This window comes from Homo sapiens, chromosome 15, assembly GCF_000001405.40.
Source record: "Homo sapiens chromosome 15, GRCh38.p14 Primary Assembly".
Classification (NCBI taxonomy): Eukaryota; Metazoa; Chordata; class Mammalia; order Primates; family Hominidae; genus Homo; species Homo sapiens.
In genome coordinates, this window is record NC_000015.10 from 86,947,205 (window position 1) to 86,974,519 (window position 27,315).

The 27,315-nt window shown below is 34.7% G+C and overlaps 1 protein-coding gene and 1 long non-coding RNA gene across 3 annotated transcripts in view; one reads left to right on the plus strand and one right to left on the minus strand.

The window, feature by feature from the left end:
* The window catches only part of AGBL1 (AGBL carboxypeptidase 1), a 951,857-nt gene that overhangs the window by 867,585 nt on the left and 56,957 nt on the right, over nt 1-27,315 (plus strand). The window lies entirely within an intron of this gene.
* LOC102724452 (uncharacterized) overlaps nt 1-27,315 on the minus strand; it is a 49,630-nt gene that overhangs the window by 8,408 nt on the left and 13,907 nt on the right. The window lies entirely within an intron of this gene.

Below are 27,315 nucleotides of genomic sequence, written 5' to 3' on the forward strand. Positions count from 1 at the left end.
ATATGCTTGGATTTGATCAGCCATTTAATTTCATATTTTGGTAATTGTTTTGAATGATACCAGAATTGAGGGACAGTTACTCACATGAGCATAATTTCTAGTCCTGAAACCTGGCAAGCTTGTCTTATTGACCTGACCTAAATTTATATTGTTGGTTTTTAAAATTTAGTATTCCTTCAGGTATTTCATAAATTGCTTTAGGTAGATTTTATGTCAGATATTTCATATTTTATGTTGTTCTATGACTCAATCATTTGCAGATAAATTATGGAACTTTGAAATGTTTGCCTGATCATGGCTTCAGGGCGAAAACAGAAAGGATTGCTGAGCTAATTCCAGCGAATTTTTTATTAATTTATTTTGAAAATATCAAACTTTGTTGTAATTTTGTTATCAAATTGTAAGTCATATGATTGCTTTACAACACTGAAGGAAGAAAATGTGCACAAAAGAGTCAAAAGATATAGGCATTGAGTGAGATCCAGGGTTCAAATCCTAGCTTCACCGTGTAGCAGCTGAATGACTGAGGGCAAGTTAGCCTTATATTTCTTATTTTATTACTCATTTTAAAAATACCAAATTTGTGAAGTTGTTGTGATTAGTATATAAAATAATTCATACAGATTATCTGACGTTGTTTTTTCCTTTAGATTTTACATTAAAAATATAGTATTTTTTCTGCTATACTGCTATCTGCTATACTGGTGATAACGGACATTAGGAGAAACATTAATTATCTGCTTTAGCTGAAGTTTTTCTCTACATCATCAAATAATTTTCCCCCATTAACATGATGTTAAGGTTGTCATCTACCTCAAAAGATGAAAGAGAGCCTTTCAATTCTGCAATTCTGTGGCTATACTGGTTTAACATTTTACGGCATGACAGAAGCAAAAATAGAACCAAGAGCCCCATGAGTTAGCATGTGCAGTGACACTGAGGCTCCCTGACTTGGGGGGAGGAGGTGGATTTAGACCAAACACCACCAGACAGACACCCAGGCAATAAGCTGCAGACTGATAAAGAGATGAATGAAATACACCAATGAGCACCTAGAAAACACCAAAGCAAACACAAAACAATATGTGTAAATGACAGATTTAAAAAAGAACATATTGCATTTTTAAAAATAAAAAATAGTCATTAGAATTAAAATGTAAATGGACATTTAAAATAAAAACGTAGACACATATGGAACAAGAATTGGTAAATTAGAAGATAAATATAAGAATACTAATATCGAAGGAAAAAGAAATGAATCTATTTAAAAAAGGTTAAAACTCACCTAAGTGGACACTAGAGCCACTCATTTGATTTGTCTGTTTTTTGACTGCCATAAGATTACCCTTCCTGGTCACTTTGTACACTTAGAGGATTATGCGTGGCCCATCATATTTCTAGCCAACGAGTGATTGAATGCGTGTGATGAGTATGTCTTCCAAAGTAAATATTTAATTGCCAGAACATTCTTTTCTGTTTGAGTGCCAACAAGATGTCTTAGCTAGTATCCCTGAAAAACTGCAATGAGCAGAGTGCCATTGATATATCTAAAATAAACATGTAGCATGAGGAAGAGAAAAATAAAATAACTATTTGATATCTTGGACGAGTGAGATGTCAAGAATGTTTAATACACTAGCATAACCTAGCCCAGGAATTGGTAAGCTAAGGCCTGTAGGCCCTGGATACCACTTTTTGTAAATAAAGTATCCTGGAATACAGCCACAGACATTCATTGATGTAACATCTCTAACTGCTCTCGTGCTACAACAGTGGAACTGAATAGTAGTGACAGGAACTGTGTGGTCCATACAGCCTACATAAAATGTCTCCCGTAATGAAGAAATGGAGACAATAAAAACTGCAGAAAAAGTCACGTAAAAGTTCCAACAGGAGATAATTTAGAAGAAAAAAAGAAATACTGTAAAGAATAATGGCAGATAATTTTCTTAAATGAAAAAAATAAAAAAATAATGACCCATTAAGATTTTTGTTTCTCTTTTTGATAGAACAGATTGCAGCAGACCCATGTTCCTATTAGGAAAAACTTACAAAATCAAGATGAAATTTGAAATCTGTTTGAAGACATCAGAAACAGTCAGGAGTTTTCCTAGAATCAAGTAACTAAGATCCCAGAAAGAAGAAACTGTAGCGAGGTATGCCCATGTCCTGTAACTGCTCCACCCTTCAGGGAATTTTCAAACTTTTGGAGCCAATTCAGGAAGAAGGCCACTGTTAAGACATAAATAAACTAGATGAAAAAAATCAAAACTCCTAGAATAGAGAGGATAACATAGATATTTCAGGCTGTCAAATAATCAAAAGAAAGTTGACTTAAATATATTAATAATAAAGTAGACTCTGAGACAAAAAATACTGCTAAAGAAAAAGAAAGGGGTTACATAATAACAAAAGGGTCAATCCACAAAAATCATAAAACTGCTAATGTTTTATGTGTATAATAATGCTTTGATCCTTCTCCATTCTAGAACCTGGAAGAAAAGAGTAAAAAAGGTTTTGAAATATGTAAAGTAAAAATTAAAAAATTAAAATGAGAAATAGACAAACTCGCAATTACAGTAATTTATGAGCCTTTGTATATGAACACATATAGAACCTCACTATACCCAATGATAGCAAAATAGCATATTTTTTCATTGGACATAGGACACTTATCATTAATAATTATATACTGGGCCTTTAAGTGAGCTCAACAAATTTCTAAGGAATGATTGTATGTAGAGTACGTTCTCTGATTACAGTGGAATCAAGCTATAAATCAATAACAAAAAGTAAATTATCAGCCGTTTGGAAACTAAGATATACTTGTAAATAAGACAGGGGTGAAATAAATCAACCTGGAAATTAGAAAATATTTTGAACTAAAAGACCAAAAAATGCCCTATCAAAATATATCTGTTAAGCCTGTTTAGAGGAGAAATTACCTAAAGGAAAGATAATTTTAAATAAATATAACTTAAAAAATAAATTCTCAAAAAACAGTAACTTATGTAACCATCTCAAGAAGCTAAGGAAAGAATAATCAGTTAACCCCAAATAAAGTTAAAACAAGAAAATAATAAAAAGATAGACTAATGGAATAAAAAACAAATGTAAAATAAAATAATATAAATAAAATCAAATTTACATTTGGGAAAGACTAATTAGATTCATAGAATTCAACCAAGAGTTAAAAAAATACTCATATCAGGAGTAGTAAAAGAGACATAATCATAGATTTTACATATACAAAAAGAAAATAAGAAAGAAGATTTCATAAGTAGGACAGAAAAGCAGTAACCAAAAAGAAAAAAATATATATATGTATATATATATGCACACACATATATTTGTGTGTGTATATTTATTTATAAGTTAAGCTCTACTAAAATTAAGATATTTTATTTACTATTAGAAACCACTGGAGGATGGAATGGAAAGTCAGAGTGAAATGTACTTGCAATACAGAAATCCAATAAAGGATTCATGAAGAATATATACAAAGAATGTTAAATAAGAAGAAGAAACACAGCTAATCCAATTAAAATTGGACAACAGATTTGAAAAGGCAACTCACAAAAGAGGATGTCAAAATGGTTAATCAATACATTAAAATGTTCTCAACATCATTAATCATCAGTGAAATGTAAGTAAAAATAACAATGCAAAAACACTACAATCCCCTTAGATAAATAAAAAAATAAAATAAAAACACTATATGAAACAAGGCTGAGAGTAGAGTGAGATAAACGAAGTGTGTCTATGGTATAGAATTTAAGAAGGCACTTACTCTCAAGTTTGCTCAAATGCAGAGTTCTACAAAAACCTCAAACTGGGTGCCTTCTTAAATTTTGTGTCCGAGCACCTAATTTTTAGAGAGACACCCTCTTAAGTTCATGCAAGTTATGCTAGGTTCAAAAGTCAATGAGGGTGTGTACCTTTTAAATTTTTCTACCTTCATTGCCTCACCTGCCTCATTGTACTCCTGGACCTAATGTTAAGTGTTGGTGAGGATAAGAAGCTAGTGGAACTATGAACTGGCACAACCACCTGATAAATATGTTGGCATATTCTACTAAATGTGTACCCACATACCCTAAGTTTTCAGCTGTTCTACTCTTTGCTATTATACTCAAGACAAATAAATACTTACGTTCATCAAAAGTCAAATATAAGAATGCTCACGACTGCCCAATTCCTAATAGCACTCACAAGAAAACAATTCAAATGTTGATCCAAAAAATATGTAAAGACATTTTAGTAAAATAATTCAAAAAATTCTATATAGTAACAAAGTGCAGCTGTACATGACATCATGGTTAATCTCATATAATGTTGAGTGAAAGGAGATGCAAAAGATCATATTAACTGATTTATATTAATTTTAACAAAGGCACTTGTCTGTGGGATTAGAAGTCAGGAGAGTGGTTATTTGAGAAAAAGAGTTGCTAAGATGAGACACAAAGGGAAACTTTTGGAATGCCAATAATATCATATTTATTGATCTGAAAATTGTAAAAATTTATTGAGCTCCACACTCATGATTTGGGCAATTTTTATTTATTGCTTTTCATAAGTCTATCCAGTTTTGCTTCTTATATATTTTCAAGCTCTATTGTTAAGTGTACACATGTTTAGGCCTGCTATGTCTTCTTCATAACCATTTTATCATTATGAAATGACTGTATATATGGTAACATTGTTTCCATGAAATCAACTTTGTCTGCTGTTAATATAGTCACTCCTGGCTGGGCACGGTGGCTCACGCTTGTAATCCCAGCACTTTGGGAGGCTGAGGCGGGTGGATCACAAGATCAGGAGTTCCAGACCAGCCTGGTCGACATGGTGAAACCCCGTCTCTACTAAAAATACAAAAATTAGTTGTGTGTGGTGGCAGGTGCCTGTAATCCCAGCTACTGCAGAGGCTGAGGCAGGAGAATCACTTGAAAGCAGCAGACAGAGTTTGCAGTGAGCCGAGATCACGCTGCTGCACTCCAGCCTGGACAAGAGCAAAACTCTGTCTCAAAAAAAAAAAAAAATTTTTTTGTCACTCTTATTTTCTTTTAGTCAGTGTTAGTAGCATACAAATTATTTCATTGTTTGATTACTTTACTTTTCATCTATTTGCTTATTTATATTTAAAACATGCTTCTTATTGGCAATATCTAGTAAGGTCATGATATCTTATCCAATCTAACTATCTCTACTTTTTAATTAAGTGCTTAGATAATTGACACTTAATGTGATTATTGATATAACTGTAATTAAAACTGGTATCTTGCTACTTGTAAAAAAATTTGTATCCTTTGCCCATTTTTTAAATGAGGTTGTTTCTTTCTTGTTGATTTGTTTAAATACCTTATAGATTCTGGATGTTCGAACTTTGTCAGATGCATAGTTTTTGAAATATTTTCTCCCATCCTGTAGGTTATCTATTTACCCTGTTGATAGTTTCATCTGCTGAGAAGTTATTTAATTTAATTAGGTCCAACTTGTCAATTTTTTGTATTGTTGCAATTGCTTTTGGGGACTCAGCCAAAAATTCTTTGCCAAGACCCATGTTAAAAAGAATATTTCCTAGATTTTTAAAGAATTTTTAGAGTTTGAGGTCTCACATTTAAATCTTTAATCTATTTTCAGTTAATTTTTGTATATAGTGAAAGGTAAGGGTCCAGTTTCATTCTGCATATAGTCAATTATGCAAGCATAAGTCATTGAATAAGGAGTTCTCTCCCCATTGTGTGTTTTTGCTGGCCTTTTTGAAGATCAGATTGTTATAGGTGTGCAGCTTTATTTCTGATTGTTCTTTTCTGTTCCATTGGTCTATGTGCCTGTTTTTGTGCTACACCATGCTGTTTTGGTTACTATAGTTTTATCGTTTGAAGTGGGGTAGTATGATGCCTCCAGCTTTGTTCTTTTTGTTTACAATTGCTTTGGCTATTTTGGCTCTTTTTTGGTTGCATGTAATTTTTAGATATTTTTCCAATTCTGTGAAAAATGACATTGGTAGTGTGATAGGAACAGTGTTAAATCTATAAATTGCTTTGGGCAGTATGGCCATTTTAACTATATTGATTCTTCCTATCCACAAGCAAGGTATATTTTTTCCTTTTATTTGTGTAGTCTCTGATTTCTTTTAGCAGTGTTTTGTAGTTCTTGTAGAGATCTTTCATCTTCTTGGTAAGCTGTATTTGGATTTTTTTTTTTTTTTTTGACAGCATCTCATGTCAGGCTGGAGTGCAGTGGTGTGATATTGGCTCACGGCAACCTCTGCCTCCTGGTCTGAAGCAATCCTCCCACCTCAGCCTCCCAAGTAGCCGGGACTACAGGTACATGCCACTATGCCCAGCTCAATTTTGTACCTTTTGTAGAGACAGGGTTTCACCATGTTGGCCAGGCTGTTCTCAAACTCCTGAGCTCAAGCAATCCACCCACCTCGGCCTCCCAAAGAACTGGGATTACAGGTGTGAGCCACTGTGGCTGGACAAGGGTTGTGTTCTTGATTTGACTTTCAGCCTAGACATTATTGGTGTTTAGAAATGCTACTGATTTTTGTACACTGATTTTGTATCTGGAAACTTTACCGAAGTCGTTTATTAGTTCTAGGAGCCTTTTGGAAGAGTCTTTAGGGTTTTCTGGGTATAGAATTATATAATCAGCAAAAAGAAATAGTTTGATTTCTGCTCTTCCTATTTGGATGCCTTTTATTTCTTTTTCTTGCTGGATCACTCTGGCTAAAAAAAGAAGATGGACAAGCAGCCAACAAACATTTGAAAAAATGCTCCTCATCACTAATTATCAGGAAAATGCCAATCAATCAAAAACCACAATGAGTTACCATCTCACACCAGTCTGGCTATTAATAAAATTCAGAATGGCTTCTATTAAAAAGTCAAAATAATAATAATCAGAATAGCTATTATTAAAAAGTCAAAAAACAACAGAATCTGGTGAGGCTGCAGAGAAAAGGGAACACTTATAAACTGTTGGTAAGGATGGAAATTAGTTCAACCACTATAGAAAGCAGTTGGGAGATTTCTCAAAGAGCTTAAAATAGAGGTACCATTCGACTTGGCAATCCCATTACTGTGTATATATCCACAGGAAAATAAATTATCCTATTCTACCAAAAGGACACTCACACTTGTATGTTCATCACTGTGCTATTCACAATAGCAATGACACGGAATCAACCTAGGTGTCCATCAGTGATTGACTGAAGGAGGAAAATATGATACATATACACCATGGAACACTGTGCAGCTATAGAAAGATTGAAATCATGTCCTTTGCAGCAGCATAGATGCAACTGGATGCCATAATCCTAAGTGAATTAATACAGGAACAAAAGACCAAATACCACCTGTTCTCACTTTTAAGTGGGAGCTAAACATTGAGCACACCTGGACATAAACATGGGAACATAGACGCTGTGGACTACTAGAAGGGGGGAAAGAAGAGGAGAGCATGGTTAGAAAAACTACCTATTGGGTCCTCTGCTCACTCCCTGGGTGACAAGATCCATTCCACAACCTCATCATCATGCAATACACCCATGTAACAATCATGCCCATGAACCCTCTATATCTAACATAAACACTGAAATTTAAAAAAATGTTCCATCTGTTATTCTGCTTCTCTCTTTCTGAATTTTAATTGAATATTAGTTTATGGTTATATCTTTTTTGACTTATTAGTCATGATAACTTGTGTTATTACATTAGTGGTTGCTTTAGAGTTCACGTATCTTTACTTATATATCTTTAACTTGTAAGAGTGTAAGTTCAAGTGGTACTACATAACTTCTCATACAGTATAAGAATCCTACAAAAACATACTTCCATTTCTCCCCTCCAGAACTTTGTTCTATGGCTGTCGTACATTTCACTATTGCATATTTTAGAAACCCTGCAATTTCATTATCATTTTGGATTTAAGATTTGTGCAAATTTATATGTATATTTACTCCAGTACAAATTTACTAAAAATAAAAATTTTAATATATATCTAAAGTCAAAATAAATGTTATTAAATATTCATTGTAATGAAATTTTTTTAAAACTCCTAAGCACAATTAGCACATACTTAAAATTGAATCATAGAATCACAATGAAAACCCTGAAGGTTAAAATGAGTGGGTTGCTAACAAAATAGTACTTGAAGGAAATCAGTGGCCCTAGCTACCCTTATCAGAAAACAAATCAGTTCTGAAACAAAGGAGCCAAGAATTCAACTCAAGATGGAAGAAATAGAAATGAGTAAATTTAAAAAAAGAACCAGACACAAATGATGAACATGTAATCAAAAATGAACAGAATAGAGAAAGAAATCAAAAAATGTAAAAATAAAACTACAGCTTGGTTTACAAAGACAAGATAGACAAACTTCTGACAAGTATGATTAAGAGAAAAGAAAGATTAGAGTAGCTATAATGATAAAATCAACAAAAGTTTTTAAAGTCTTGGAAAGGTACTATGAAATATACATGATTGAATGCATATGACATGAATTAATTTCTGAAAATAAATTAACAACCGGATTATGAAGAAGAAAAATGAAAATCAACTAGACTCGATTTTTAGTATACTTAAATAGGATTCCAAGGCTTTCCCTCCATAGAAGAAAGGTTTTAGGAGATACGACTTTATATCAAACATGTAAAAATGAAAAATTCAATAATATATATGTTATTGTGGCCATGGAGAAACTCCTGCTGGTGGGAGTGAGACATGAAGCCAGGGTTTTACAAAATAGTCTAGCATTTTGGAATGAAATTAAGTATACATGTGCATGCTGTATCAAATCTGGGTAAATAGAGCTATACAGTTTATACGAAACAAGTTACAAAATTATCCCAAGCAACATTGTTGGTAGTAGCAAGAAATTATAGACTATTAATGGGTCCATTAACTAGGAAAATATATAAGGAAAAAGTTATAAATTCTGTATTAGGGTTCTCTAGAGAAACAGAACCGGTAGGATTTAGATATAGATAGGTAGATAGATGATTGATTAGATAGATAGATAGATAGATAGATAGATAGATAGATAGATAGATTAGATAGATGATAGAGATGATGGATGATATAGATAGATATAGATATAGGTAGATGATAGATAGATGGATAGATAGATAGATGATAGATGAAAAGAGAGTGAGAGAGGCAGATAAAATGAAAGAGATAAATTCTAAGACATTGGCTCATACAGTTGTGGGAGCTGGCAAGTCCAAATCCCACAGGACAAGGCAGAAGCTGGAGATTCAAGTAAGTGTTGATCTTGCATACTTGAGTGTAAAAACTAGATTCAAGCAAAATTTCTATTGTAGACTTGAGGCAGAATTCCTTCTTTGGGAAACATCTGTCTTTGCTCTTCAACAGATCAGATGCGGTCCATCCATGTCATGGAGAGTGATCTGTTTTACTTAAAACCAACCGATGTGAATGTTAGTCACACATTAAAAAATAGTTTTGCAGCAACATCAAGGCTAGTATTTGACCAAACAATTGGTCACCATTGTTTAACCAAGTTGACACATAAAATTAATCATCACATATGCCAAAGATTACTATTTAGCAATGAGAAGTAAAGAGCTACATTTTCATAGAGCAATGTAGCAGCATTTCAAAATGTTAGTGAAATAAGAAATTGAATGGAATAACAATTAATATTTACATAAGTTAAACATGCAGCATATAACACTGAACACATCTATGCACATAAGTGTGTATACAGAATGAATTAAAACGGTATAGATTGTTGAAAATAAAGTGCATGTCTAGAAGGAACAATACAAAGGCAATTGGGCACAAAAAGAAAAAACATGACATGAAACATTAGAGGTGTTATACATGGTCTGATGATAAGGGCAATCAATCTAGTAATTAGGAACTAAGCAGTATGATTGTCTCCATTCTGTGCGTGTGGGATCTGAAATCAAGTCTAAAATCTGAATTCAACACACTGAAAAATAATCTATTTTTATATATTTTATTCAATATTTTAATACCTTGAAATTAAAGGACATTCAGTGAATGTGGTAAATATATCTACTAAAATCCTACAGAAAATTTTACTCTTTAATGCTGAGTTCAGCCATTTCCTCTATCATCACATTGTAGTGAGGGGCCTAGCCACTAATGCAGAAGAAAAAATTTCAATAAAATATGTAACATTTGGGAAAAAGTTAAAATCTTCTCGTTTTTCTCAGATAGAGGTATGTCAACAAAGTAAAATCTCAGGGAATCCATAAAAAATATTTAGATATACTGTGAGAATTTGGGAAAAAATGTTAGATTAATATATAATGGAAAATATCAATATATAAAAATTAATCACATTACTATATAGCAGCAGCAAACAATCAGAAAAACAATTTAATCAATTACATATAAAACAGAAGAAAGAAATCAGGTAATCATCCTGTAATATATTTAACAAAAATTTGAATGATCTTTCAGAGTAAAAATATCAAATTTAATTAAAGAAGCTTTTCCAATTTCAAAACAAATGTAGATTTATCCCTTAATAAATGAGAAGAATCAATATAATGAATCATCAATTCTTGTCGTATTAATCTATAAGTTAAATGTTAATTCAATTAAAATGTTGAAAGATTTTGTTTTCTTGGATTTTAAGAGCTTAACTCTAAAATTCGTATGGAATAATAAAAAACCTAGTACAGTCAATATAACTCTGAACAAAAACATGTTTGAGGCCAGGCACGGTGGCTCACACCTATAATTCCTGCACTTTTAGAGGCCAAGGCAGAAGGATCACTAGTGGCCAGGAGTTCGAGACCAGCCTAAGCCTCATGGCAAGACCCTTGTAACTTAAAAATAAAAATAAAAAATTAGCCGATTGTGTGTCATACAACTGTAGTCCCAGCTACTTGGGAAGCTGAGACAGGAGAATTGTTGGAGCTAAAGAATTGGAGGCTGCAGTAAGCTATGATTGTGCCACTGCACTCCAGCCTGGGTGATAGAGCAAGATCTTGTTTCTTAAAAAAAAAAAAAAAAAAGAAAAGAAAATGAAAGATGGTAGAATGGGACTCTCCTTTGCATTGTATTAATGGAATATTCAACAGTGTCCCTGGCCACTGCCCCTACAGGTGTGATGATCGAAATGTCTCCAGACATTGCCAAATGCCCTCTGGAGGGTAAAATGTCCTCCATTGAGAACCACAGAGTTAAATTAATTAAAACCATTTGATTTTAGCATAGGTATAGACAAGAAAAATAATTATAAAGAAAAAGAAACATGAATCAGACCTACATTCATAGAAATTTGGTGTATATGCAATGGTAGTAAATTTAACAGGAAAAAGTTTAGTATAAGGTTCTGCAACAATTAGCTGTTTATAGAAAACAATTAATGAAATAGATTTCTGTGCTATACACATAAATCTATTGATTAAAAAACTAAATGTAAAGACTCAGTTGAAAAGCTAAAGCAATATATAATTTTTTATCAGCACTTTCTATAAATCGATCTTAGAAAAATTTCACAAATGTATTCAAAGGGATAGTTCAGAAGATATTCATTTTGGCACAGATTGTAATAGCAAAAGCATGAAAACAATTTTACTATCCATTATTAAGACAAATAAACTTTATGTTTAATTCAGTGGGACACTATGTGTCTGTTAAAATGAATTAGCTAGATTTAAAAATATCAATATGAATAAGCCTCAAAAATATAATACCACAAGAAGGAAGCAAATATTGCAAAGTATACTTACAGTAAGGTACCATATATTTGAAATGTTAAAACACTCAGAAACAATAATATATACTGTTTATAGTTGCCTACAAATGTAGTAAGTACACAGAATCCTGAGAGAAAATATTCCCTTTCTGGAAATGGAGGGACAAAAAAGGATGATGTGAGATTTCAGTTACAGATGTACTTAAGTCGTTAATAACAAAAAAGACTTCTGAAGCTAATGTAGCAATAGTTTAGTATTTATTAATCTTTGTTCATCAAACATAATAATCTTATTGCTCTCTGTTTTTATATGTGGAAGTGTGTTCATAAAAAAGGTATTCTTGTCCAATTGATTAAAGGTATTTTAATATTTAGTAAAAAAAATTAAATCTACTTATACAAACACAATAAAATGAGTAGTTCAACATCCAGTTCTGTACCTAAGAACCCAAATGCATGCCTTTCATTTCCATGCTTCTTCTAAAAAATGTCCCTGCCTGGAAATGGGTGTTCTCTGGTTTGACCAGAAGTGGTTTCACATTTCTAATATGGACTGACTTGCAATATGCACTTTCCATTTTCTGTTTCTTACTTAGAAGAGTGTTTGCTTATGAGATCATCATTACAACACACACAAACACCCAAAGTCTTCTTTTTTTCTTTGATTTGTTATTTGTCAGGAGAGATGAATTAAAATTTAAGCTCCCTATTTCAGATAACTGGTAAATCTACTCTGTTTTTCTTTCCTGTTTATTAATGAGCTTCTGTCACTTTTTCTCTCCTTTCTTACTCTTTCCTTCTTTTTCTCTCCTCAACACATTCATCTCTGTGCTCATTTGCTTCAATACCCTTTCACAAGACTTATCTTTTTCTTCTAAAGCCAAAATAATGATGCACATTATTCTTATCTGAGTTTCTCTCCACTTCTCTATTTCCAGGTCAGATTTAGCTTAACAAGTGGATCATTGATTGGATGTTTACACAGCCACATTGGATCTTTATTGCTCTGTTCATTTGTCTTGTTCAGGGGAAATGGGATTAGCTCTTCTTTAATTGTGTCATCTCTAAAGATGCCCACCAACTCTTTTAAGGTTTCGGGTAAATGTGCAGCGCATAATATTTCAAAATATTTTTTAAATAATTCAACTGAAGGCCTTTTGCTTCTTTAACCTTTCTTTGTTGACTTGAAAACAAATGAAAATGTAACAAAAATGCAGGGTACTACTTATCTTGCTTTCCGCACAGTCTGACTCAACATTTTCTTAGTTGTTAAAAAGATGTAGACACAGGATTGGAGTTGATAGTTGATGGCTCTTAGTTTTTATTCTATTAGGGAGCTACTTCTAGATCTTATACCCATTCAAGCTCTTATCACTCTATTTTATAGCTTTTCTTTCCTTGTACAACTTATGCTCATATCTATAAACTACAGGTAATTCCATATTATTTAGAAATATAAATTATCTGGTTGAAATGAGCCAAATCCACCACTCTTGTTTTATTTTCATAGGGTAAGGATCAGATTCAAGTAGAGCTTGACACAAGAGAAAGTCATTATCAAAAAGTCAAAACATTAGTGTTGTCAAAGATGTAAAGAAAACAGGACCCTTATATATTCGGTAAGGATGTAAATTAGTACAGTATAGAGATTCAACAAAAAATTAAAAATAGAACTACAAAATCATCCAGAAATCCTAATACTGGCTATATATCCCCCCCAAAAAGAAAGAAAATGACCATCCCCAAGAGATATCTGCACCCCCATGTACACTGCAGCATTATTCAAAATAGCCAAGATATGAAAACAATCTAAGCATCCATCAATGGACACTTAGCCATTACTCAGCCATAAAAAAGGAATCTACCATGTCTGAAAACATGGATGAACCTGAATGACATTATGCTAAGTGAAATAAGCCAGACAGAAAAACAAACGCTGCATAATCTCACTTATATGTAGAACCTAAAATAGTCAAACTCATAGGAACATGGGATAGAATGGTTATTGCCAGGTGCTGGAGGTTGGGGCAGATGGGGAGTGGTTGGTTAAGGGTCTCCAAACTTTCAGTTATAAGACGACTAAGTTCTAGAGACTTAATGTAAAGCATGATGACTAGAGTTAATAATACTCTATTGTATACTTGAAATTTGCTAAAAAAGTAGATTTCAAGTGTCCTTATCCCCACACTCCCACAGACAAATGGTAACTATGTGACATAATAGACATGTTAATTAGCTTGATGTGGTTATCATTTCACAATACGTATGTGTTATCAAATCATCATGCTGTACATTTAAATGTTTACAATTTTTGTCACTAATACTAAATAAAGCTCAAAAAAGGGAGTCATTGCTGCAACCTCTGTTAGGAGTACTTATAAATCTACCCAGGCTTTAGAAAAGAAAAAAAAAGCCAATGAGGGTCCACTCTGCAGCTCTACTGTAGGATTTCTGAAAAATTGGTCAGTATAATGACAACCCTATCACTGTGGAGACTAAGTGCTATGCCAAACTTCTACCGACTTCAGTGGGGAGGGCACCAGATTCAAGGGTCTGAAGAAGAGACCCAGAGCCAGCAAACGAGACCTGGGGCTTCATTGAGGTTACACACAGGGGAGAGGGTCCAGTGGTGGTGGGATGAACAGGAGAACTGCCACCACTTGGAAAGGCATGCAATCTATACAGTATTTTTACTTAGAACCCTTTCCCTGACCACCTCCATTTGGCAACATTCATTCAACCCAAAACTCAGGACCTCGATCCTCTGTATCTCCCATGTTCTGTGGGTCAGGCCGGGGGCTCAGATGTTTCTCATAGACAGGAATGAATCTCTAGTTTAGCCACTCCTGGATTCCCTAGCTCTAGAGCACACATTCAGGTGCATCTGCCATACAGGGCCATTCTTAGGGTATGCCTAAGATATTGCCTCTCAGGTGCATTTACCATCACCTAGGATAATCTTGATTCAGCATTCCTGAAGAGGGCAGTGAAGGCAGTAGAACAGCCAGGGCTACTAAATAGAAGGGCCTGAAACTGACTTTATAGAGTAATGTCCGAAAAGCCTGGATGTGAGGATAAATAATCATTTCTCCCCACAAAACACTAAACAAATCTCTTGTGATGTATTGGCGAGTTCTTATTTGCAGTCATATGATGTTACTATTTTCTATTACAAATTGCAAATTCAATTCTCAAATTCAATTATCCTGGAGACAGCCAACCAATAAGTTTAGCAGTGTTTGAAAAGAAAGACAAGTTGCACCCAGGTTTATAAATACACATGTAGACACAAAAGTGTTAAATGTAAGCCTCAGCAAAATTGAAAATGGGCAATTTCTAGATCCAGATTGGGCCAGAAGTGGGAGAGAGGATTTTTGGTGGAGAGACATAAGAGACTCCTGGATCTGTGTGTTTTCTGGAATAGCATTTCCAAATGATTCTCCAGGAAGGACACATTTTTTATTATCATTCACAAGGCATTAACATGTCTAAGATTCCAAAAATTCTTAAAGAAACATCTTTTTTTTAATCATATGTCTTTAAAAGAAAAAAATCTCTTTTTACTTTGTTTACTATCATGCCACATATTCGTTTCACCACAAAACACTTTTTTTAAGAATTCTTATTAATAACACTTCTTGGAAATTTTGCTTCATAAAGCTCTCCTAGGGAGACAATGATGCAGAGTAAATAAATTTCAGGTTATGCAGGACATACCATTGAATATAAGATTTACACCAGAAGATATTTTCTTTCCATGAAAAGCCACAAACATTTATAAAACATATTTCGAGGCAGGTCTATTTAGGACCTTGCTATTCAAAATATGGTTCTTGGAAAAGGAAGGTTAGCATCACTGTGGATCTTGTTAGAAATGTGGAAACTCTGGTCCCACCTCAGAGCTATTGAATGAGAATCTTGCATTATCTGCAACATCCCCAGCTGATTCCTGTGCACAAAAAGTTTGAGAAAGTCTATTGTAGAAGACTCAAACTTCTAAAGTTATGAATATCACACATTTCTGCATGTAAATTAGAAAACACAAACTAGAAACATGTAATTAAGGTTAATTGCACTTATCTTTTAAAACGTGACGATTAAAACGTGAGCATTAACCAATTGCAAAGCATAAACAATGATATTAAAATATCATGTAAGCCTTGAATAGGTGACCAGTTTGAATTCATATATATCAGCATCAGATCTGGATCTAAATAACTGGATAAGAATATATTAGGAAATAAGGAGAATGACAAAAGCCATGGACAACCTGGCATAAAACCACAACTCTCGCTTGATTAACACAAAACAATTTGCTAGTGAGTAGAGAAAGACATTTAATGGCATGAATGTGCCACGGCTACATTGACACGTAGTATACAGAATCCTCAGTTTACTTACACTCTTCTAATAGTGCCAAATGTCAAGTTTAGAAATATTCTAATGGTTTGAAAATATTTATTTAACATTTATTTATCACTGGTTAATTATATCATTTCAAAAATGCTTTCTTTGGATTAGTGCTGTCCTCAGATCAGTTAGACATAAACTTTCCAATCAAAGGGAACATCATCTAGTATACTGGATGAATTATAAACAATCTACCACGTTGAAAGCACACATATTACAAAGTTATAGCAAGAAGTTTCAGGAAACATACATGACAAATATTGGGTGTCAGAATATGATTAAGGATCTGGAAAAAGCTCAGTCTCATTATTTATCGGTGTATCCTCACATCACATCACTCGGAGTTAGTGTAGTCTGTAGGTTAGAGGGTGGAGTAGGAGACTCCCTCTCTTCCAAAGTCTCTGTGTTAGTCCTTTTTGAGTTACTGCCTTTCTCATTGAACCACTGTTCAATGATTTTTCTGAACAATGGTCCTCTGAAGGCAGTAGCTTCCTAGTGGACGAGTGTCTGATTTTTCCCAGCACTACCTAGTACAGAGCTGGGCTCAGAGTTCATACTTATAAAGCCAGAGATAAGAGATCTTGAAGAAAGAATTATGAGCGATTCAAGGGTAATACATTGGCATAATTTAAGAATAGAAAGCCAGCTCTGCAAGCAATCAGACTAATGGAAGATCTGAGCCAGGAAACTCTCTCTCTCTCTCTCTCTCTCTGTGTGTGTGTGTGTGTGTGTGTGTTTGTGTGTGACTTCAAACAATTTGGAAGACTCGGTGTTATTATACTAATTTTACTTGAGTAAAGTTATACCTAGAGAGGTTAAGTTCACAGCTAGTCAGTGCTGGAATTAGGGACCAAACCTGGTTCTGCCTGACTGTAAAACTAGGACTCTTCAATCACTCTTTTGCAGGGTTTCTTAACCTCAGTACTATTGGCAATTAGTGCAGGATAATTCTTTGTTGTGGAGGGTCCTGCTATGTATTGTAGGATAATTCTTTGTTGTGGAGGGTTATGCTATGTATTGTAAAATGTTTAGAAGCATCCCTGATTGCTACCCACTAGATGTCAGAAGCACATTACCCACCACTACCCCCACTGTGATAACAAAAAATGTGTCCAGACATGGCCAAATGTCTCCTGGGAGAAAATCATCCCTGATTGGAAGCTACTGATCTATTAATAGTAGGTCCGTAGGATCCTTAAAGTGAGCATGTTACAGTAAATCACCTCCTGAACATGAACCACTGACACAACCTTATTAATGTAGACAGCTTAGTGGGCTTGCCTATGGTCACTTCTGCTTCTAAAAGAAATAGAAATCTTTTTTTTTTTTTTAAATACTTTAAGTTCTGGGATACATGTGCAGAATGTGCAGGTTTGTTACATAGGTATACACGTGCAATGGTGTTTTGCTGCACCCATCAACCCATCATCTAGGTATTTCTCCTAATGCTATCCCTCCCCTACCCCCCAACCCCTGACAGGCCCCGGTGTGTAACATTGCCCTCCCTGTGTCCATGTGTTCTCATTGTTCAACTCCCACTTATGAGTGACAACATGCAGTGTTTGGTTTTCTGTTCCCGTGACAGTTTGTTGAGAATAATGGCTTACAGCTTCATCCATGTCCCTGCAAAGGACATGAACTCATCCTTTTTTACAGCTGCATAGTATTCCGTGGTGTATATGTGCCACATTTTCTTTATCCAGTCTATCACTGTTGGGCATTTGGGTTGTTTCCAAGTCTTTGCTATTGTGAACAGTGCTGCAATAAACATACATGTGCATGTATTTTTATAGAAGAATGACTTATAATCCTTTGGGTACATACCCAGTAATGGGATTGCTGGGTCAAATAATATTTCTGGTTCTAGATCCTTGAGGAATCGCCACACTCTCTTCCACAATGGTTGAACTAGTTTACAGTCCCACCAACAGTCTAAAAGCGTTTCTATTTCTCCACATCCTCTCCAGCATCTGCTGTTTCCTGACTTTTTAATGATTGCCATTCTAACTGGTGTGAGATGGTATCTCATTGTGGTTTTGGTTTGCATTTCTCCAAAGGCCAGTGATGATGAACTTTTTTTTTCATGTGTTTGTTGGCCGCATAAATGTCTTCTTTTGAGAAGTTATCTGTTCATATCCTTTGCCCACTTTTTGATGGGTTTGTTTTTTTCTTGTAAATTTGTTTAAGTTCTTTATAGATTCTGGATATTAGCCCTTTGTCAGATGGATAGATTGAAAAAATTTTCTCCCATTCTGTAGATTGCCTGTTCACTCTGATGATGGTTTCTTTCCATCAATGATAGACTGGATAAAGAAAATGTGGCACATATACACCGTGGAATACTATGCAGCCATAAAAAAGGATGAGTTCATGTCCTTTGCAGGGACATGGATGAAGCTGGAAAAACATCGTTCTCAGCAAACTAACATAAGAACAGAAAACCAAACACTGCATGTTGTCACTCATAAGTGGGAGTTGAACAATGAGAACCCATGGACACAGGGAGGGAACATCACACACCGGGGCCTGTCAGGGGTTGAGGGCCTAGGGGAGGGATAGCATTAGGAGAAATACCTAATGTAGATGACGGGTTGATGGTTGCAGCAAACTACCATGGCATGTGTATACCTATGTAACAAACCTGTACGTTCTGCACATGTACCCTAGAACTTAAAGCATCATCATCATCATAATAATAATAAAGGAAATAATAGACAGTTTATCTTAGGTAAATTGTTTTTGAGGTCACTGGCAATAAGTGAAGGCCTTTAATTTTGCCCATCTGGGCCATGTTTCACAAATATTACTGAAAACGCCTTTTCAAAATAGCAATAAAGGCTAAGGTATCAGGGACTCTGTAGTATTTTTTAATATAAAACAAAACAAAACAAAAATGTGAAAATAGCTGTAACAGAGCTTAAGGTCCAGTCTGAATTTAGGTGTGGGATTGAACCATTTCTTTTTTTTTTTTTTTAACAGAAATCCTCATTCTTTGGCCCATATCTTTTTTTTTTATTATTATACTTTAAGTTTTGGGGTACATGGGCACAATATGCAGGTTAGTTACATATGTATACATGAGCCATTTTGGTGTGCTGCACCCAGTAACTCGTCATTTAACATGAGGTATATCTCCTAATGCTATCCCTCCCTGCTCCCACCACCCCACCACAGGCCCTAGTGTGTGATGTTCCCCTTCCTGTGTCCAAGTCTTCTCATTGTTCACTTCCCACCTATGAGTGAGAACATGTGGTGTTTGGTTTTTTGTCCTTGTGACAGTTTGCTGAGAATGATGGTTTCCAGCTTCATCCATGTCCCTACCAAGGTCATGAACTCATCTTTTTTTATGGCTGCATAGTATTGCATGGTGTATATGTGCCATATTTTCTTAATCCAGTCTATCATTGCTGGACATTTGGCTTGGTTCCAAGTCTTTGCTATTGTGAATAATGCCGCAATAAACATACCTGTGCATGTGTCTTTATAGCAGCATGATTTATAGTCCTTTGGGTATATACCCAGTAATGGGATTGCTGGGCCAAATGGTATTTCTAGTTCTAGATCCCCGAGAAATCACCACACTGACTTCCACAATGGTTGAACTAGTTTACAGTCCCACCAACAGTGTAAAAGTGTTCCTATTTCTCCACATCCTCTCCAGTACCTGTTGTTTCCTGACTTTTTGATGATGGCCATTTTAACTGGTGTGAGATGGTATGTCGTTGTGGTTTTGATTTGCATTTCTCTGATGGCCAGTGATGATGAACATTTTTTCATGTGTCTTTTGGCTGCATAAATGTCTTCTTTTGAGAAGCGTCTGTTCATATCCTTCACCCACTTGTTGATGGGGTTGTTTGTTTTTTTCTTGTAAATTTGTTTGAGTTCATTGTAGATTCTGGATATTAGCCCTTTGTCAGATGAGTAGGTTGCAAAAATTTCCTCCCATTCTGTAGGTTGCCTGTTCACTCTGACGGTAATTTCTTTTGCTGTGCAGAAGCTCTTTAGTTTAATTAGATCCCATTTGTCAATTTTGGCTTTTGTTGCCATTGCTTTTGGTGTTTTAGACATGAAGTCCTTGCCCATGCCTATGTCCTGAATGGTATTGCCTAGGTTTTCTTCTAGGGTTTTTATGGTTTTAGGTCTAACATTTAAGTCCTTAATCCATCTTGATTAATTTTTGTATAAGGTGTAAGGAAGGGATCCAGTTTCAGCTTTCTACATATGGCTAGCCAGTTTTCCCAGCACCATTTATTAAATAGGGAATCGTTTCCCCATTTCTTCTTTTTGTCAGGTTTGTCAAAGATCAGATAGTTGTAGATGTGTGGTATTATTTCTGAGGGTTCTATTCTGTTCCATTGTTCTATATCTCTGTTTTGGTACCAGGACCATGCTGCTTTGGTTACTGTAGCCTTGTAGTATAGTTTGAAGTTACGTAGCATGATGCCTCCAGCTTTGTTCTTTTGGCTTAGGATTGACTTGACAATGTGGGCTCTTTTTTTGTTCCATATGAACTTTAAAGTAGTTTTTTCCAATTCTGTGAAGAAAGTCATTGGTAGCTTGATGGGGATGGCATTGAATGTATAAATTACCTTGGGCAGTATGGCCATTTTCACGATATTGATTCTTCCTACCCATGAGCATAGAATGTTCTTCCATTTGTTTGTATCCTCTTTGATTTCATTGAGCAGTGGTTTGTTGTTCTCCTTGAAGAGGTCCGGGATTGAATCATTTCAAACAAAATATCAGGTTCTCTTTTATGTTGCAGAGTGGGGCTAGTAATATTGCCCAACTTCAAAGGTGAGGAGAGTCTCTTCCTGAACATGCAGAAAGAGGGTCACCCAAAATCATTTGGAGTAGTGACAATGACATTGGATTTGGAGTCAGAAAGAAGGCCTAGATTACCTCCTCAAATGATTACCATCTCTTTGACCTTCTAGGGGCCAATAGTCTCTGAGTTTCATATTTGAGCCTCAGATTTGTGTAATTGCAATAATAGTCTCTATCTCATAGAGCTAAGGTAATGATTAGATGGAATGTTCAGTGGAAAAAAACGACTTCTAAGCACAAATATGGCTTCAAACATTAAGCTTTGATTGCTCCAAAACTTACAATTAATTGCTTACATCGCATTTTGCAATGGATAGAAATGGCCAGGGGGATTATCGCATAGGGAAATAACACAATGCTCTTTCAAAGTTTTCTATCAAATTAAGACTCTTGGAAGCAAAATGATCTTAGGCCCCGTGACTACACCATGTAACTAAATTTGGTCTGATTTTCATCTTACCCTGGCATAAAAATGAGGGAAAGCAGACTCAATCAACTCTTCAGCCACCTCCCTTATCCCACACCATGATAATGGATTCAATATCTCTGTGCCTTAGTCTCTTCAGGCTGCTATAACAAAATGGCTTAGACTAGGTAATTTATACACAAAAGTGTTTATTGCTCACAGTTCTAGAGGCTGGAAAGTCCACAATCAGGATACCAGGAGATTCGGTGTCTGGTAAGGGCTTGTTACTCACAGATGGAGACCCCTTGTAGCTTTCTCACATCGTGGAAGAGGCAAGCAAGCTCCCACAGGCCTTCTTTATAAAGGCGCTAATTCTATTCATGAGGCAGATCCCTTATAACCTTGTCGCCACACAAAGGCCCCACCTTTTAATACCATCACTTTAGGGTTAGATTTCAACAAATAAATTTTGAGGAGAAACATTTAAATCATAGTACTCTGCCCATGGCCTCCCAAAATTTATGTCCTTCTCATATGCAAACTATATTAATTCCATCCCAATAGCATCAAAAGTATTCACTTGTTCTAGCATCAACTCAAAATTTAAAGTTCAAAGTCTCATCTAAATCAGGTGTGGGTGAGACTCAAGGTACAACTCATTCTGAGAGCAAATTCTGCTCCAGCTGTGGGCCAGTGAAATCAAACAAGTTATGTGCTTTCCACAACACATTGCACAATCATTCAGACCTCAGGACTGGCCCAACTTAACTCAAAAAACAGACACGTTTTCCTTCCAACTTGAGTTGTTGCAAGATACTACCTGCTCTCCTTTAGAAACTAGTAATCACGGGATACAAGAAAACGAAGCACAGGAAGTGGAACACCTTAAGTCTCTGCCATGTCCCAGACCAGAGTCAGTGAGGATACATGCATATGTATGTGAATATTCACCTTTATGTATGCACATACGCATAGGCAAGTGTATTCATCAGTCTGCATGTGGGTGTTTCTGCACAAGCATATGCATTTGTGTGACTATTTGCGTGGGAATGTGTATGTGGGCATATGTGCATTTTAGTTTGTGTATTCATGTGTTGGTATATGTGGGTGTGGATATAAGGGTAGATGTACATATATATCTGCAGATATTTGTTGGTTGAATTTGCATAGATTTCTGAATATGTCATCAGGGTGGAAGTGGGAAGAAGGAGAAAATGGAAATAGAATGAAATTCTCTCATTGAACCTACAGTGGGAATTTAAGGAAACAGCATGCTATTAACCAAATCAGGAGCTGGTCTACAGTCACCTCACTGAGGAATGTGGGAAGAACACAGTTGAAATTATCTTTAAACATCAGCAAAAATAGAGTTACTTGGACTCTGGATTTCATGTTGAATTTTCTCTAGCTACATGGGGCTTCCTTATAACTATAAGGAAGTTGGGTGGTAGGTCGTAGCTGCTTTACAGGGAAGAGTTGTATCCAGAATAAGCAAAATAAGACTAAAAGGTAAAGGCATGGGGAGCCCAAAAGTCTACCCAATAACTCTAGTAGCTTATTCTGTCTTTCAATTGCGGAGGAAGTGGAGCCCAGGCCAAGGCAGCATTGGAAATATTGTGTTAATCCCTTCCTTCCAGCCCTCAGAACAACCCCTGAATGAGATCCCAATATACTGGGAGGCAGGAAAAAGAAAGAAACCCCAATTTCAATACAGGAATATTAATAATAGTAGCAAATACTTATATGGTACTTAGTATGAGCAAGCACCATTTAAAGAGTTTTAGAAGTCATTATTGCTTATTGTTGTCATTTATGAATTGCCAATTGTATATCAGGCACTTTACTATGTGCATTAAAGATATGATTCCATTTACATTTATTTTCATAACCATTGGTTGAAGTCTATATTAATAAGTCAGTTTTACTAAGGCAGAAACTCAGGCTCAACGACGTTGAGCTATGTGCTCAAAGTCATAGTGGTGGAGCAATGATTTGAACGCAGGCCTATTACAAATTGTCTTTATTTTCAGAGTTAGTTTTCTAAACTACAATCATGGTACCTAGGTTTGATTTGATAATGCAGAAGCAATATGTGATAGCCAATTTTTCTCTTTATCCTAGCAAGGGAAAACATTACAAAGCAATTTACAAAATTCAGTATGTTCCTACCACATTCAGTTTCCATATGCATATTGGATGGAAGTTAGCTGAAACTTTCCCCTAGATATCTGAACTGCAGAATAGTGTACAATTGGCCCTCCATATCTATGGGTCCTCCATCTACAGATTCAACGAACTGAGGTTTTAAAATGTTTGGAAAAAACATAATAAAACATAACAATATACAAATAAGATCAATACATTTAACCACTATTTGCATGTCACTTCCACTGCATTAGGTATTACAAGTAATCTAGAGATAATTTAAAGTATACAGGAGAATGTGTGTAGATGATATGCAAATAGTACACCATTTTATATAAGAGATTTGTGCATTCGTGAATTTTGGCATCTGCAGTGGTTCTGGAACAAATCCTGCAAGGATATTGAGGGACAACTCGAATTCAGGACAGTTCAAACCAAATTAGAAGATCAAGTACCCAAGATGAGCATGGCTCACTTTACCTATTAGCTCTTCCTGTTTGCATGAACTGGGAAAACTGTACTGTCATACTTGGATGTAGATGAAACCTAGAAATGCTAGGAATCTTCAAACCTGAGAGAAGTATATTTCTTATGCCCTTTTTTGAGTATGTTTCTATTAAGAGCTGTATTTTGTGACATGTGGTGAGACATTAATTGCCATCTACTACGTGTTTCCTTAGCACCCTGCTCTAAACAGCATTCTACAGTAAGGGATGGCTTGTTAATAAAGGTTACCAGTTGATATTAATGCTAAATATTGCCTCATTTATACTATTCCTACTAACCCAAGTATGTGGATATGGGGAGAGGGGATGTGCTTTTTAATTAAATAGTCAAGAACAGAAAACACTGAGCTCTATGAGAAAGGTAAAAGAAAAAATAGGAATAGCTGCTATTCTAGCATCTAATATGTTACTAAGTCAGTAAAATACATGATTTCTCCTCTTATTTGCGTAACTTAAATAACTGAGGTAATTTGGTATCTGGAAACATTGCAGCTCCCTCTCTTTTCATTCTTTGGCCAGCTGAATTAACTAATTGATATGGTTAGGCTTTGTGTCCCCACCAAAATCTCATCTTGAATTGTAATCCCCATAATCCCCATAATCCCCCTGTGTCAAGGGAGAGACCAAGTGGAGGTAATTGAATCATGGAGGCAGTTTCGCCTATGATGTTCTCATGATAGTGAGTTCTCAGGAGATCTAATGGTTTTATAAGGGGCTCTTCCCACTTTGCTTGGCACTTCCCCTTCCTGCTGCCTTGTGAAGAAGGGGCCTGCTTCCCCTTCACCTTCTGCCATGATTCTAAGTTCCCTGAGGCTTCCCTAGTCATGCTGAACTGTAAGTCAATTAAACCTCTTTCCTTTATAAATTATCCTCTCAGGCAGTTCTTTGTAGCAATACAAAAACGAACTAATACACTGATGAATATAGTTTTCCATTTACCCTGGATAAGACCTCAGAATCCATCTTAACACAGCATGTCAGAAAGCCATGCCAAATAGATGATTACCACTCTGTGAGCCCTAGTTGCCAACTCTGTCATAGATTATTGATCTGAGGAGAGAAGGAGAAAGAAGTTTCACAGATACAACATTTGGCATTCCTGAAATAGGCCTTGCTATTTGCCCAACATATAACTAAGACGTGAAATTCTAGTAGGTCTGAGGAAATAGTGGCACCTGTTGGTGCCATTCCAGACCAAGACATAGACTTCATTCAGGCTTGGATGATAAATGGTCTATTGCAGATAAAGATATGTATTTCAAACAAAGCGTTTTTTATTTACTGAAATTATTAAATTTATAACTTCTGATTTGAAAATAAGAATCTTATCTATCACACTTTTATCTTATGGGCATTACTGTCAAGCCTATCTTTATGTTACATAGATGCACTGAGCTTTTGGCCAGATACCATTAAATGTTTGACTTCTGAAACTCACCTGCATTTCTGATTTCCTGATCACCAAATATTTGCATGTTTGTTTGCTCCCCTTTCCTTACAGGGGGAGAATGCACTGAGCATGCATGCTAATGTGGCCATTCTGCTTTACAAAAGCTTTCTTTTCTCTTTCATTGTATGCTAATCTATTGCAAGTCTGATAATTTTCATTCCCTTAAAACTTAGTTTTTCACAATCTGACAAGTAATTTTTCTGAGTTTTTTTTCTGACAATGGTAGATCCAGAGTCTCAATAAACTTCACCCAGAATCAAATTTCTGGAGTAGCCATCTGCTTCTTTCATTATAATCTTGGTATAAGCAGTATAGCTCGGTGGTTAAGAACAAAGAATTTGGATCAGACAAATTGGATTTTTGCAACTTTCTGGTTGTGTGACCTTTGGTGAATCTCAAAACCTCTTTAAGCCTCAGTTTTGGCATTTGTGTAACAGTAGTACTGGTATGTATTTGTGATGCTGTAAGCTTGTTGTGAAGATGGTATGAAATGATGAATAGATATGGTCAGTAGTCCTGTTTGTTAGCAATTGGTATATATTAGTTGTTATTATTCCTTGTTTAAAACTCCACTGACATTAAATAGCCACATGAAGAGCATGGTGACATGTGAACAGTATCATCTTCCTAATGATTTTATGCTCATGAAACCTAAACTTACTTTTGTGACTTAAAATTGCTACACCATCAACAGTTGAAGCTTCTTGATGGTGAGAAATCTATTTTATGTAGAATTACTTAAAAGGACATTTTAACTATAGTAGCAATTTCAATTGACTTCCTGTCATTTCCAAGTCACTCAGTGTCAGCCTACATTCCTCTTCAGGGAACTAGTTCCTCCCAAGACTTCTCATGTCAGGTTGGCCTAGCATGATCGGAAAAAAATCACAAGTTGGCTGTCAATCATCCAAAAGCATCTCTTCAGCACCTAAAAGGGCATAATGCTATGCTAACTACTGTGAGAAGTACATTACACAGACATAGCCATAGTAATCCAGCAACTTCTATTCTCCAGGCAGAAAGAGAAAGGATCTTTGTGCTTAATAAAAAGTGGTATGCTGTGGTGAAAGGAGCATTCTCTTGTGTTAAGAGACCAGGCTTCCCCAGGTTTGTCCTTCAGCAATGCATTTTACATTTCTGAATATATTTCTTCATTGAAAAGCAGAATTATAAAATCTGCGTACCCCCAGTGTTCTTAATCCTTTAAAAAATGTTTGCAATGTGCCATGAATATATACATATATATATTAAATATAAACATATTTAATATATTAAATATAAACATATTTAATATATTAAATATAAACATATTTAATATATTAAATATAAACATATTTAATATATTAAATATAAACATATTTAATATATTAAATATAAACATATTTAATATATTAAATATAAACATTTTAATATATTAAATATAAACATTTTAATATATTAAATATAAACATTTTAATATATTAAATATAAACATTTTAATATATTAAATATAAACATTTTAATATATTAAATATAAACATTTTAATATATTAAATATAAACATTTTAATATATTAAATATAAACATTTTAATATATTAAATATAAACATTTTAATATATTAAATATAAACATTTTAATATATTAAATATAAACATTTTAATATATTAAATATAAACATTTTAATATATTAAATATAAACATTTTAATATATTAAATATAAACATTTTAATATATTAAATATAAACATTTTAATATATTAAATATAAACATATTAAATATAAACATATTTTATATATTAAATATAAACATATTTTATATATTGAATATAAACATATTTTATATATTGAATATAAACATATTTTATATATTGAATATAAATATATAT